Genomic DNA, 14,152 nt, shown 5'->3' on the forward strand with positions numbered 1-14,152 from the left:
TTTGGTACTGCTCACGAAGCAACTTCACTACATATACCACTGGGTCTCAACTTAGACTCCAGGACTATTTGTGAGAAATGTTGCAAGTAATTTCCTAACATTCCATTAAGAAGGATAATATGATTTCCAGGATTTAAATTTGAACATAACCTCACTTTCACTTGAATTCCAAATGCATTACTGAGCAGACAAAAAGAGAGTCAGATTACAGCCATCAAGCTGAGACGAGCACCTAAACCCGGCTATTCCTTTGGGAATACATCAGTATCTGAATGAAATTCATCACGAAGTACTGTATGAGTAAACGAGAGAGCTGCTGATCTAGACCACAGCTGAGAATCATAAAAAGAAAGAAAGAAAAAGCACTAAGGAATCAAAAGAAATATCATAAAATCTAGTCAATCTATCTTATACACATTATTCAGGCGACCTTTAGACCAAAATCCCAGACTTCTAATTCAGCATAAAGGGAGGAAGGGACTCACTGATAAAGATGAAGCTGTCAGTGACACCAAAACATTACAGTTGCTACAAGGAAGGGAGGCAGAAAAACTAAAATTGAGACCTAAAAATTCTACATATTTATCTGTGGACATTCAACACAAGCCACATGGGCAGGGCAGCCCACAACAAACTACTTTTGGAAATACCATGGAATTTTAGACTGTGGGGTGATCATGTTAATAGACACCTTGAATGACAGAGCATACAACATATATAGAACGCAGTGGGAGAGTATGTTTCCCCTCACCCATGTCCTCCTGCCAGCCTGTTCTCCTCAAATATAATAGTTAAAAGATGGAGAAGATATGTTATGCTACTGAAAGATTTTGTGTAAAATTGCTATAATTTCTTTAATTTAGATACTTTAAAAAAGGTATACTTTAACTGGAAAATGAATTCACATAATTTCTAAACAATGCAGGGTTAAGAAATATTATATCCTATCCTTAACAAAGCTGTTAACTAAGAATTTAAACTAAACATTAGAAGCTAGATGTTTCAAATCTGATTACAAAACCAACAAATTACACAGATACAGGTTATGTGGAAAACAAGCTTGCAATTCATTTTAAAACAAGCAAATATTCTAGTGCCTTTGTATAGCCTTTATATTAAAGAACAAAGAAATGAGAAAGAAACAGAATCACTCCTCCCACCCCCCCACTCCAGAAGAATTAAGGCTTTCAAGGAAGACCAAAACAGGTTAATAGGAATTCTCTCTTTAAAATCATATACTTACATCCAGCAAAAATAACGGTTCCAAATATGTTATCTTCGGTTGTAAAAACTACATTTGTTCCACTACTTGCAGAAACAGAAATATTACGAATCTTGATTGCAACATTTTCCCCATCAAGATGGATCAAGGGGCAGTTTGTATGGCCAATCAGTGCTGATAACACTTTTTCTTGACTCACACAACAAAATGTTATGTCTGAGCCTACAAGTATCACTTTATCTTGAGGAAAAACCTTAGTCTGAGAATCAGGTATCCCTAGAAAGAAAAAGAGGAATTATAAACATTTTATATAGAAGTATTTTACATAAACTTTTCTGCATTTTAAGACTTTCTTTTCATAAGATGACTTTTAAAATAGCCCAGTATATACACTACAAACTGTTAGGTGCTTTGTAATGATAATGGTCCAAAGATAAGGTGTGTTCCACAGGTTTTGTAGGAGCAAGATATATACGATAAATTTTTTAAAAGTGTATGTGGTTTTATTTACTTATGAAGGGATAATGGTGAGGAAGCAGAAGCAGATTACAGGTCAGTGTCTAAAGTTAATGCCACAGGTTTATGTCTAAGAAGTCTAAGGGTTGAAATTCAGTGGGTTTATATATACATGTGAACAATCCACACCCCCCAAAAATCACTAATTAAATAATTCCATTCCTTTTATTCAATGTATTTAGGGCATATGTCTTACTTTCCATCAGCCTAAATATATGCCCAAGTACTCCACACCCTAAAAAACAACTTACTTTAATCTAGTCCCCTTCCTTCCTCTAATCCTTTTATCCATAGAGTGATCTATCTCTACAATGACTACCAGCCTTTCAGGATTTCATTTTATGGTCAACAATTTTCCAGGCCCCCTATTCGAAACTGCCAACATTCTCCCTGTATATGAGTTTTACTTAATGTACGGATGCTTTTTGGTATGCTTGCAGATCCCCGTGTTCCTGGCAATAACTATGCAGCCTCTAGGGGTCTGCTCTGTGAGCCAGAAATTGGGAACTGTTTTGTTTTTTTTTTTTAAACATAGATTTCATCTCAGTATCATCTACACACAATTTTTAATGCTCTTCAATTCCTATGACAGTGATTTTCAAACCTGGATGTTTATCCAACCACTCAGAAAGTTCTTTCAAAATACAGATTCCTGAAGCCTATCTCAGACTTTTTGATCAAAATCTCCAGGGATGGTGGGCTTAGACGCTCCCAGGTAATCCTCATGCAGCTGAATGAGGTTATGAGAAGTGAAAGCTCAAACTAAATCTTACTCTTAAGTGAGACTAATTTAATTCATCTGAAACAAACATTCTTTAAATATAAGCTTACAAGAAATGTTCTTCACAGGGCTCCAGTCACTCCACTCTTCGAGACCAGAAAAATGAAGATTGTCAATGTAGCATCTAATTTCCACAAAATGAATGGCACATTCCAAGGGCATATCTGAGGCCCAACTCCAGTGATGAAGTGTATCTTTGCCATTCAGAGTTGTGTTGTGGGTCACCTAAAAATGAACACAAACACAAAACTGTATTTCCAAGTAGCAATATGTTTTGCTTTCCTTTAGAATTAAAAGACACAATAGATTCCATACAATCATCAGCTAAGTTTATGTTTTGTCCTTTAATACAACTCAGTTTTGTGTAAGGTATAATAGCAGAGTAACAATAATCATGATTCATTTGTTTACTTCTTCAACTTTAGGCCCTAATGTATTATATAAGATGTTGCTATTCATTGAAACATTCAATTTGGTATGCAAGAAAATGCAGGTTGAGTATCCCTTGGGACCACAAGTGTGTTGGATTTTGCACCTTTTCAGATTGCATTATATACTTCTCAGATGAGCATCTCTAATCTAAAAATCTAAAATCTGCCTGGACAGTGGCTCACACCTGTAATTTACCCAGCACTTTGGGAGGCTGAGACAGGCAGATCCCTTGAGCCCAGGAGTACAAGACCAGCCTGGACAATACGGCGAAACCCCATCTCTACAAAAAAATAAAAAAATAAAAAATAAAAAAATAAAATTAGCCAGGCATGCTGGCTTGTGCCTGTAGTCCCAGCAACTCAGGAGGCTGAGGTGGGAGGGTCTATTGAGCCTGGAAAGTCAAGGCTGCAGTGAGCTGAGATCATGCAACTGCACTCCAGCCTGGGTGGCAGAATGATATCCTGTCTAAAAACAACAAAAAATAAATAAATAAAATAACAAAAATCCCAAGTCTGAAATGCTCCAGTGAGCATTTCCTTTGAGCATCATGGTGGTGCTCAAAAAGTTTTGAATTTTAAAACATTTTGAGTTTTGGATTTTCAGATTAGGGATGCTCAACCTGTATACCACTGCCTAATGATCTAAATTTTTCATAGAGTAGAAGTAATTAATGGGGTTGCACTTTCAAAAGCTTAAGTCAAGGAGAGGGGCAGCATTTCAATAAAATAGTTTTAGACTAGATTTGTTTTTTATATAAGTATTCTATATAGTTGCTTTTATTTTTAAATAGAAGATTAAATATGTAAGTTATACTAATACAAATTATTATTAATTGTGAGAAATGAGCAAGATTTCAATAAAATATTGAGGTGCTATAAAAGATAACTTGGGACTTCTAGGCAAACACAATAGATTAAACAACTATTTCCTTCTCCCTTACCTCCTGAAATCACTCCAAAGAGTAAACAGATTTTTTTTAAAGGTGTGAATGGACAAAGACAAAATATAGAAATAAAGCAACATCACTAAAATCTGGAAGCTGGAAAGCAGATGGATAATGGTAACTGATGTAGAAGACCTGAGAAAACAAAATCTTAAGCATCCAATGGGAAATACAGGAAAACAGCTTGTTTCTATCACAGAAATGCCAAAGGGCTCAGTGAGTGGCTATCCCAGGCTCCCCTGGAAATAAAGAGCTCAAAACAGCAGGACTGCTTGAAAGTTGTTTGAAGATATGTTGGCTACCCAGATCCCTTCCCACACTCCACACTACCGAAGGACTACCTTTGTTTACCTTGGCAGAAGAATAAAGATTTATGTTCTGGAAAAGTAAAACAGAATATCTTTGGATTGAAGAATTTTAGGAAGAGATGAGAATGGGGACTATCATTCCAAAAACAGGGGGATTGCTAACCTATGCCTTCTTCCTCTGCTCAGCTCCCAGGATACTGGTTTGCCAGACTAATCCTCACCAGGTAATAGTCTAAATGAACTTTTCTGAGTCACATAAACATGTCAAAATGAAATACCTAAAATAATATTTGGCGTTTGCCACCTGCATAGCCCATCCTCATCACTCTAGAGGGAAGGCCCCCATCAACAAGTCCTATCCAGAGAAACCAAAGTTCCAATTAGATTAAAAAAAAATTTTTAACAGCCCCTCGCTTAACTGTGAGCAGCAACCAGGATGACCAGAAAGTGTACAAGAAATTCTAATACGAAAGTCAATAATTGAAAAGAAAAGAAAAAGAAAAAATGTGAGGAAACAGGGCATGTAGAAAAAAACTTTAAATCATTACTATCCTCAGAGATAAGACATTGCATCATGAAACAAAAACTGGATACATTAAAAAAATAACATAAATCCTTTCAAAGAAAGGATCTTCTATAAATTAATAAACATATGAATAGAAATTCAATAGCAGGATGCAAAATCCAGTTTAGAAAAAATTTCTGAGAAAATAGAAAATACATAGAAAACAAGAAAGATAAAAACAATTAGAGGATTGTTGTGGAAGGTTCATGAAGAACAGAAGTTCTCAAAAAAAAGGAGAAGACAGAGAAGGACAAATCAAAGAAATAAAACAAGAAATTCCCAAGCTGACACACATGTGTTTTTAGACTGACAGGGGCCCAATGAGTGTCCAGAAGAACAGATAAAGATTGATCCACACTAAGAAACAATGGAATCATACCTTCAAAATCTTGACAAAATTTCCCAACCTGTAATTCTACACCCAGTTAAACTAGTAATCACGCACGAGTGCAGAATAGACATTTTCATAAATGTGGTATCTCCATGTATTCCTTTGGTAAGCATTTTACACTCTGCCCAGTAACGTATGAAAGTTCCAGTTCCTCTACAACTTCTCAGTAATAGTAATTGACAAGCTTTTAAATTTTTAAATAATTAAATTAAAAGAACAAATTATATTTGCAAGCTAGCTATTATAGATAGCAGAGAATATCTACAATAGCAAATAACTACTGACAGTTGGCTCCCTCTATTCATCGCTCCACATCTGTGAGGTCAACCAACTATGGATCAAAAATACTTGGAAAAAAATTTGCATCTGTGCTAAACATGTGCAGACACTTCTTGTCCTTATTCCTTAGACAATACAGTATAACTACTATTTACACAACACTTACATTGTATTAGGTGTTACAAATAATCTAAAGAGGGTTTAAAATATACAGGAGGATGCCCGTAGGTTGTATGCTAACGCTACCGAGCATCTTTGAATTCTGGTATCTAAGGGAGGTCCTGGAAGCAATCCCCCAAAAGATACCAAGGGACAAGTGCAAATGCTTCCACAAAAATGAGGAAATAAGAGAACGACTGGAGATTTGGCAAAAAGAAGATCCATCATAAGACAAAGTTGTAGGAAATACCCTAGATGATGGAGATCCCTTGGACCACAGCTTCCTAAGAAATGTGCTGAAAGACACTGAAGTCTATCTTGAGTGAGTTATAAATATATCTAGGTATTAATCCATTCAAACCTAGAACTGCTTGGTAGGGGTTGGGGCTACTGGAGCCTCTGTGATGCCTCTGGCCACAAGCGGTCTCGGCTATTTACCACACTCTGTGCTATACAAATATTATCAGTGTCTATGTGAGCCTTCTGTGAATAAGGTTGGGAAGCCAGCCAGAAAGCCCTCAGAGATTTATTCGCAAAGATAAAATTGATAAAGTACTTAGTATATTTGAAAATTCCAAGGAGATCTACACAGCCTGCAAAGAATTTAGGATTAAAGTAATGAAGCAGAGAAATAAACACAAAAAAACAAGATAATATAAGGAGTGTACAAAAAATTGTGGATTTTTTTATAGACCATAATACAAATGATGAATACTGTTCTACCAAAAATTATCATAGACTCTATTGGAAAAAGCTAGGAAAATGGCAGGCTGCGGGGAGAAGGAGGGAGAGGGAGGAGCAGAGAGAAATGAGGCGGTGGGGGGAGAGGAGGAAAGGGAGGGGGTTGCTATCAAGAAATAGCAACATAAGCATGTTATTTGGAGAAATGAAGATAAATAATGAAAGAGATCAGTTAAAAGAGTTGAAACAGGTCGTTTCCAGGGAAAGTCAAGGAGGAGTATTTGTGTGTGGGGGAGCAGTGCCTGGTGAGCTCTTCCCAGTGTGTGCAGCACACAGCTCCCACTGCTGGACACAGAGACCACAGACAGACAAGTGCCTCACAAATGAAACATGAATGCAAAGTGTTCTTGATTTTTAAATTATTATAAAATAATAGCATTAGTGCAAAATAATAGGATATCATAAAATGACTGATCACAAGCAATTTTGTCTTAAATACTGACATTAATAACGTACTATTAATAAAAATGCCCTGAGGCATTTTCCCTTACTTTACAGTTCTAAAGAAATGTGTTCTTTCTCATTGCTTCTTGCTATTATTTTCCCAAATTTTTTCCCAAAAGTAAGGAATTACTGCCTTGTCATTGGCTGACTTACACATGTTGTAGAATGAGCTATATGGTTTTAGCCTAACAGTCCCTTCATTTAAGTTTGATTTCACTCACATTTCAGAGTGTCCCTCTTTAATTCTAGTATTCTCTAGTTAGTTCCTCCTCAAGTTACATTAAAAATTAAAAAAGCCTCGTCCCTATCCATCTGACAAAGGGCTAATATCCAGAATCTACAAGGAACTTAAACAAATTTACAAGAAAAAAATCAAACAACCCCATCAAAAAAGCGGGCAAACGATATGCACAGACACTTCTCAAAAGAAGACATTTATGTGGCCAAGAACAAAAAGGTCATCATCACTGGTCATTAGAGAAATGCAAATCAAAACCACAATGAGATACCATCTCATGCCAGTTAGAATGGCGATCATTAAAAAGACAGGAAACAACAGATGTTGGAGAGGATGTGGAGAAATAGGAATGCTTTTACACTGTTGGTGGGAGTGTGAATTAGTTCAACCACTGTGGAGGACAGTGTGGCAATTCCTCAAGGATTTAGAAGCAGAAATACCATTTGACCCAGCCATCCCATTACTGGCTATATACCCAAAGGATTATAAATCATTCTACTATAAAGACACATGCACACATAGGTTTACTGCAGCACTATTCACAACAGCAAAGACTTGGAACCCACCCAAACACCCATCAATGATAGACTGGATGAAGAAAATGTGGCACATACACACCATGGAGTACTATGCAGCCATAAAAAAGGATGAGTTCATGTCCTTTGCAGGGACATGAATGAAGTTGGAAGCCATCATTCTCAGCAAACTAACACAGGAACAGAAAACCAAACACCGCATGTTCTCACTTATAAGTGGGAGTTGAACAATGAGAACACACGGACACAGGGAGGGGGACATCACACATCGGGGCCTGTCAGGGATGGGGGGCTAGGGAAAGGATAGCATTAGGAGAAATACCGAATGTAGATGATGGATTGATGAGTGCAGCAAACCACCATGGCACGTATACACCTATGTAACAAACCTTCAGGTTTGTACATGTATCCCAGAATTTAAAGTGTAATAAAAAATTATAAAATTTAATAAATAAAAAAATAAAAAGCCTTGTCCCTAAAGGGAGTAGTGACAAATAATATTTGTTTAGCAGCTTTACAGATATACTATTTACTTTGCAGACCCCAGAGCAAATATTGCCACTTTACAAAAGATACAAACTAGGTTTGAGGAGTTATCCTAAGCCTGTAAGTGGTAACCCAGAATGCAAAATGTTAGGCCATAATGACAAGTTAAGCAATATAATTTAAATAAATAATACCTTTAAGACAGCACCTGCAGAACTGTATCAAAGCTAGCTGCAAATTAGATTAACAGACAAGACTTGCCATTAGAATCAAGAAAAGTGAGAGTCTGCAGGCTGAATTAAGATGGGCTTTAAGGCTGGGCGCGGTGGCTCATGCCTGTAATCCCAGCACTTTGGGAGGCCGAGGTGGCCAGATTACAAGGTCAAGAGATCGAGACCATCCTGGCTAACACGGTGAAACCCCATCTCCACTAAAAATACAAAAAGTTAGTCGGGCGTGGTGGCATGTGCCTGTAGTCCCAGCTACTGGGGAGGCTGAAGCAAGAGAATAGCTTGAACCCGGGATTTGGAGGTTGCAGTGAGCCGAGATCATGCCACTGCACTCCAGCATGTGCAACAGAGCAAGACACTGTCTCAAAAAAAAAAAAAAAAAAAAAAAAAGGATGGGCTTTAAAATAAGAAGTAGGCAGATGGGGCAAAAAAGTGAGACCCCATCTCTATGAAAAAAAAAAAAACAAACAAAAAAAAACAGCTGGGCACAGCAGCATGCACCTGTAGCCCCAGCTACTCAGGACACTGAGGCAAAAGTATCCCTTAGGAGTTTGAGGCTGCAGTCAGCTATATGATCATGCCACTGTACTCCAGCCAAGTTGACAGAGCAGAACCCTATCTCTAAAAACAAATGAATAAAATAAAATAAAATAAGGAGTAGGATTTGACCTGGGTCTTGAAATGCAGGTTCGAGTAGGATACGTGAGAAGGGGAGGACATTTTAAATTAAAATATATATATTTCTTATAAAATATAAATTGTAGCAGTTAAGAGCAGACTCTGAAACCAAGCTGCCTGGGTTGGAATCCTGACTCCACCACTTAAAGTCTTCCTGTGACTCTGTATCATCTGTAAAATGGGAATAATAATAGTATCACCCTCCTGGGACTGTTGTGAGGATAAAAAGAATCAAGGTATACAGTAATGTGCTATATAACAATACTTCAGTCAATGTGGGACCACATATACCATGGTGATCCTATAAGATTATAATGGAGCTGAAAAATTCCTATTACCAAGTGACATCATAGCCAACATAATGTCATAGTGCAACGTATTACTCATGTGTCTGTGGTGATGCTGGAATAACAAACATACTGTGCTGCTGGTATAAGAGTATAACACATATAATTGTGCTCTGTACATAATACTTGATAATGATAATAAATGACTATGTTACTGGTGTATGTATTTAGTGTACTACACTTTCTATCATTATTTTTGAGGGTACTCCTTCTACATGTTTTTAAAAGTTAACTGTAAAACAGCCTCAGGCAGGTCCTTCAGGAGGTATTCCAGAAGAAGGCATGGTTACCAGAGGAGATGACAGCTCCATGCATGTTACTGCCCCGAAGACCTTCCAGTGGGACAAGATGTGGAGGTGGCAGACTGTTATACTGATGATCCTGGCCCTGCGTAGGCCTAGGCTAACGTGTGTGTTTTTGTCCTTGTTTTTAACAAAAAAGTTTACAAAGTTAAAGAAAAATAATTTTTAAAAATACAAAAAAGCTTGTAGAGTAAGGATATAAAAATATTTTTGTACAGCTGTACTATGTGTTTGTTTTAAGCTAAGTGTTAATACAAAAGAGTCAAAATATTTTTTAAAAATTAAAAGTTCTGAAGTAAAAAAGTTACAGTAAGCTAAGGTTAATTTATTACCAAAGAAAGATAAAAAGTTTTATAAGTTTAGTGTGGTCTAATTGTACCATGTAGACTACAGTGGTGAATAGTCATGTCCTAGGCCCTCAATTCACTCACTGACTCACCCAGAGAAACTTTTAGTCCTGCAAGCTCCATTCACGGTAAGTGCCTTATACAGGTGTACCATTTTTTATCTCTTTAAACATTTTATTGATACATAGTATTTATGGGATACATGTGAGTATTGGTTACATGCACAGAATGTGTAATGATCAAGTCAGGGTATTTGGGGTATCCATTATCTCATGAGTATTATCATTTCTGTGTTGGGAACATTTCAAGTCTTCTAGCTACCTTGAAATATATAATACATGGATGCTAACTACAGTCACCCTACTTGACTATCTAACACAGAACTTATATCTTCTATCTAACTGTACATTTGTACCCATTCACCAACCTCTCTTCCTGCCCCGTCCCACCAACACACCCTTCTCAGTCTCTAGTATCTATCATTCTGTTACTAATAATATCTTTACCTCCATGAGATCAGCTTTTTTAGTCTCCATGAGTGAGTGAGAACATACTATATTTATCTTTCTGTGCCTGGCTTATTTCGCTTAGCGTAGTGGCCTCCAGTTCCATCCTGGTTGCTGAAGATGACATGATTTCATTCTTTTTTATGGCCAAACAGAATTCCATTGTGTGTATATATCACATTTTCTTTATCCACTCATCTACTGGACACTTAGGTTGATTCCACATATTTTCTATTGTGAATAGTGGCATGATAAACATGTGAATTCAGGTAACCCTTTAATACACTGATTTATTTTCCTTTGGACAGATACCCAGAAGTGGGACTGCTGGATCCTATAGGAGTTCTCTTTTTAGTTTTTTGAGAAATCTCCATACCGATTTCCATAGTAGTTGTACTAATTTACATTCCCAGTCGCATTGTATAAGAGCTTCCCATGCTCCACATCCTCACCAATATATAAGTTTTTTTTGTCTTTTTAATAATAGCCATTCTAATAGAGGTGAGCTGATTTGATTGTGGTTTTAATTTGTATTTCCCTGGTAAGTAGTGATATTGAGCATTTTTTCATACACCTGTTGTCCATATGTCTTCTTTTGAGAAATGTCTATTCATGTCCTTTGCCCACATTACAATGGGAGTATTAATTTTTTAATTGTTGAGTTGTTTTAGTTCACGGTAGGTTCTGGATATTCGTCCTTTGTTGGATGAATAGTTTGGAAATGTTTTCTCCCATTCAACCGTCTCTTCACTCCACTGTTTCCACTGTTGTGCAGAAGCTTTTTAGTTTAATATAATCTATTTTTGCTTCTGCTGTCTGTGCTTTTGCAGTTTTAGCCATAAAATCTTTACCTGGACCAATGTCCTATAGTATTTTCCCCATGTTTTATAGTTTCAGTCTTATGTTTAAGTCTTTCATCTATCTTGAGTTGATTTTTGTATATGAGAGACAGAGATCCAGTTTCATTCTTCTGCATATGAATATCCAATTTTCCCAGTACCATTTATTGAAGATGATATCCTTTCCCCAACTATGTATGTTCTTGGTACCTTTGTCAAAGATAAGTTTGCTATAAAAACATAGTTATTTCTGGATTCTCTACTCTGTTCCACTGGTCTATGTATCTGTTTTTATACAAGTAACATGCTGTTTTGATTACTATAGATAACCTTTTAATATATTTTGAAGTTGAGTAGTGTGATGTCTCCAAGTTTGTTCTTTTACTCAGGACTGCTTCAGCTATTTGGGTTTCTTTTGACTTCATACAAATTTTAGGATTGTTTTTTCTATTTCTGTGGAAAATGACATTGGCATTTTTGTAGGGAATGCATTGAATCTAAATGTGCAGATTGCTTTGGGCAGTTTGGTCCTGTTAATGATATTAATTCTTCCAATCTGTAAGCATGGAATGTCTTTGTGTCCTCTTCAATTTCTTTCATCAGTTTTGTAGTTTTCCTTATAGAGATCTTCCAACTACTTGGTTAAATTTATTCCTAGGTACTTTATTTTTCTGTAGCTATTGTAAATGGGATGGCTTTCTTGATTTTTCAGCCAGTTCATTATTAGCATATAGAAACACTTCTCATTTTTCTATATTGATTTTACCTCCTGCAACTTTACTAACTTTATTTACAGATCTAAGTTTTTTGGGGGAGTCTTTACACTTTTCTAGATACAAGATTATATCACCAGCAAAGAGGGACAATTTGACTCTCTCTTTCCCAATTTGGATCCCTTTTATTTTCTCTCTTGCCCGACTGCTCTGGCTAGGACTTCCAGTACTATTGTTGAATAAGAGTGGCGTAAGTGGTCCAGTCTTTGGGTCCCGGCAGTGGAAGTGGTAAGCCGAGTATGCCTGTCTTTGGACCCCAGGATGGCATTCACTGGCCCCATTGTTAGTGGGTCCAAGGGGGCCAATTCTTGAGCGTCCAGGTGGCTTGCTTGGATGCTGGTATTGAGAGTGGTGGGCTGGGTACGTTCTCAGGCCCCTGGCCAGCAGGTGTGGTGTGGGTGATGGCAGTAGCAGTGGTAGGATAACCCTCTGGGTCTTGAGCAGTGCACTCTGGTGCTGACAGTAGATACAATGTGCTGAGTGGGCCAGTCTTCAGGCCCGCAGGTAGCATGTGCAGTAGGTGCCAGCTGTGGTGGTAGCAGCAGGGTGTGTGGGCCTAATCTCAGGCCCCTAGAAGAGGTGCTCAGGTGCTGATGGTGGTAGACTAGGCTAGGTGATTCCTAGGTCCATAGGCTGTAAGTTCTGGCACCAGGGCAAGGGAACAAAGCTGGGTGGGCTTGTCCTCAGGCCCTCTCGTAGTACATGTAGACACTAGCTGTGGTAGGCAGGCATGCGGTGTTCCCCATGCTCCCTCCAGAATGCTCAGGTGGACAGCAGCAGTGGCTGTGCTGCGGCCCTGCTACTGAGGAGGAAGAGATTGCTTTCAATGGTAGCCATAGGCATGCAAGTGGGGAACGCACAATTTGCATTCTAGTCTCAGTAGCTGTAGTCTGCGCTTCACTCACGCTTCAGCCTTAGTGGTGGCACATCACGCCCCACTTGTGCTTCAGCAGTTGCAGGCAGGGGACTCTGGGCACATGGAATGCACTTTAGCAGTGGAGCCACTGCTGGTGTTCTGCTGGCTGCCTCACTTTCCTCTTCCTTCCCTGCTTTAGGTGCTTCCTGTCACTTCTCTTGAATCCCGATGCTCTCTCTAGGATGATCTATTTGAAGTGTGAAGATCTACTATTCCCTATCTTGGTTCTTCTTTGTAGAGAAGTTGAGTACGAGGTGCCTCTAGTCAGCCATCTTGAAGTCCCTCCTCCATTTAAAGTCTTCTATACCATATTTTTACATATCTTTTCTATATTTAGATACAGAAATACTTACCAATATATTACAATTGCCTCCATTATTCAGTACAGTAACATGCCATGCAGGTTTGTATGTGGCCTAGAAGCAATAGGCTATTGTCCCATATAGGCTAGGTGCTAGCTGACTATTGTTATTTTAGGAATGAAATACATGGGTTGTCAAAGAGAAACAATAAGAAAGTATGAAATATAGAATAATCTTTTTTATTATCTTTACTATTTTATCTATGTACTTGAGCAACTTGAACAAATAAACTGTAAAATCATGAGATGGTCTTCTAATTCTTAAACCTGTAACTAAGCAAACTCCAAATCTATCAAGAAAAAGAGTAAAAGGCTGAAAGGGAGCATTTCCAGGTAACAGCTGTCAAACTTTTCATAAATGTTGTTCATTACTCCTTAGAGGCCATTCATAAACAGGAATGAAAAAACGAGAGAGGGAAAAAGCATGTACTGATAAATTCAAGCTTATAGATTTATAAAAAAAAATTCTCTATGGCTAAGTTCTGGCTAAACATGCTTCAAAACATTAGACAAAGGTAAAATAATACACTAAATTAAATGTGCACTTTCATTTACATAAAAACATGCATATAAACAAGTCCAGACAGGAATACACAAAAACAGTACTTACTATTTTCAAGTGGTAGAATCACGGCTTATTTCTCCCCTAATTTCCTATGCTATCTGTAATGGTTACACATCATTTAATAATTAACAAGTGATTTTTAAATCATGCATGATGTTTTTAATGAACCCTGAAAGGTATCTGATTTACTTCCTAAATAATCCAAAAGTTCACTGATACCACCTTAAGGCTTCTTAAAAAAAATTAT

The 14,152-nt window shown here is 37.5% G+C and overlaps 1 protein-coding gene across 7 annotated transcripts in view; it reads right to left on the reverse strand.

The window, feature by feature from the left end:
• Positions 1 to 14,152, reverse strand: part of LIFR (LIF receptor subunit alpha) — a 133,736-nt gene that overhangs the window by 34,553 nt on the left and 85,031 nt on the right. For all 7 annotated transcript variants that reach the window (XM_017009463.2, NM_002310.6, XM_047417172.1 and 4 more), the window contains 2 exons: positions 2,570 to 2,744; positions 1,244 to 1,498 (listed from right to left, as the gene is read on the reverse strand). In XM_017009463.2, the coding sequence (XP_016864952.1) occupies positions 1,244 to 1,498; positions 2,570 to 2,744 (430 nt within the window). The remainder of the gene's footprint in view (positions 1 to 1,243; positions 1,499 to 2,569; positions 2,745 to 14,152) is intronic.

This window comes from Homo sapiens, chromosome 5, assembly GCF_000001405.40.
Source record: "Homo sapiens chromosome 5, GRCh38.p14 Primary Assembly".
Classification (NCBI taxonomy): Eukaryota; Metazoa; Chordata; class Mammalia; order Primates; family Hominidae; genus Homo; species Homo sapiens.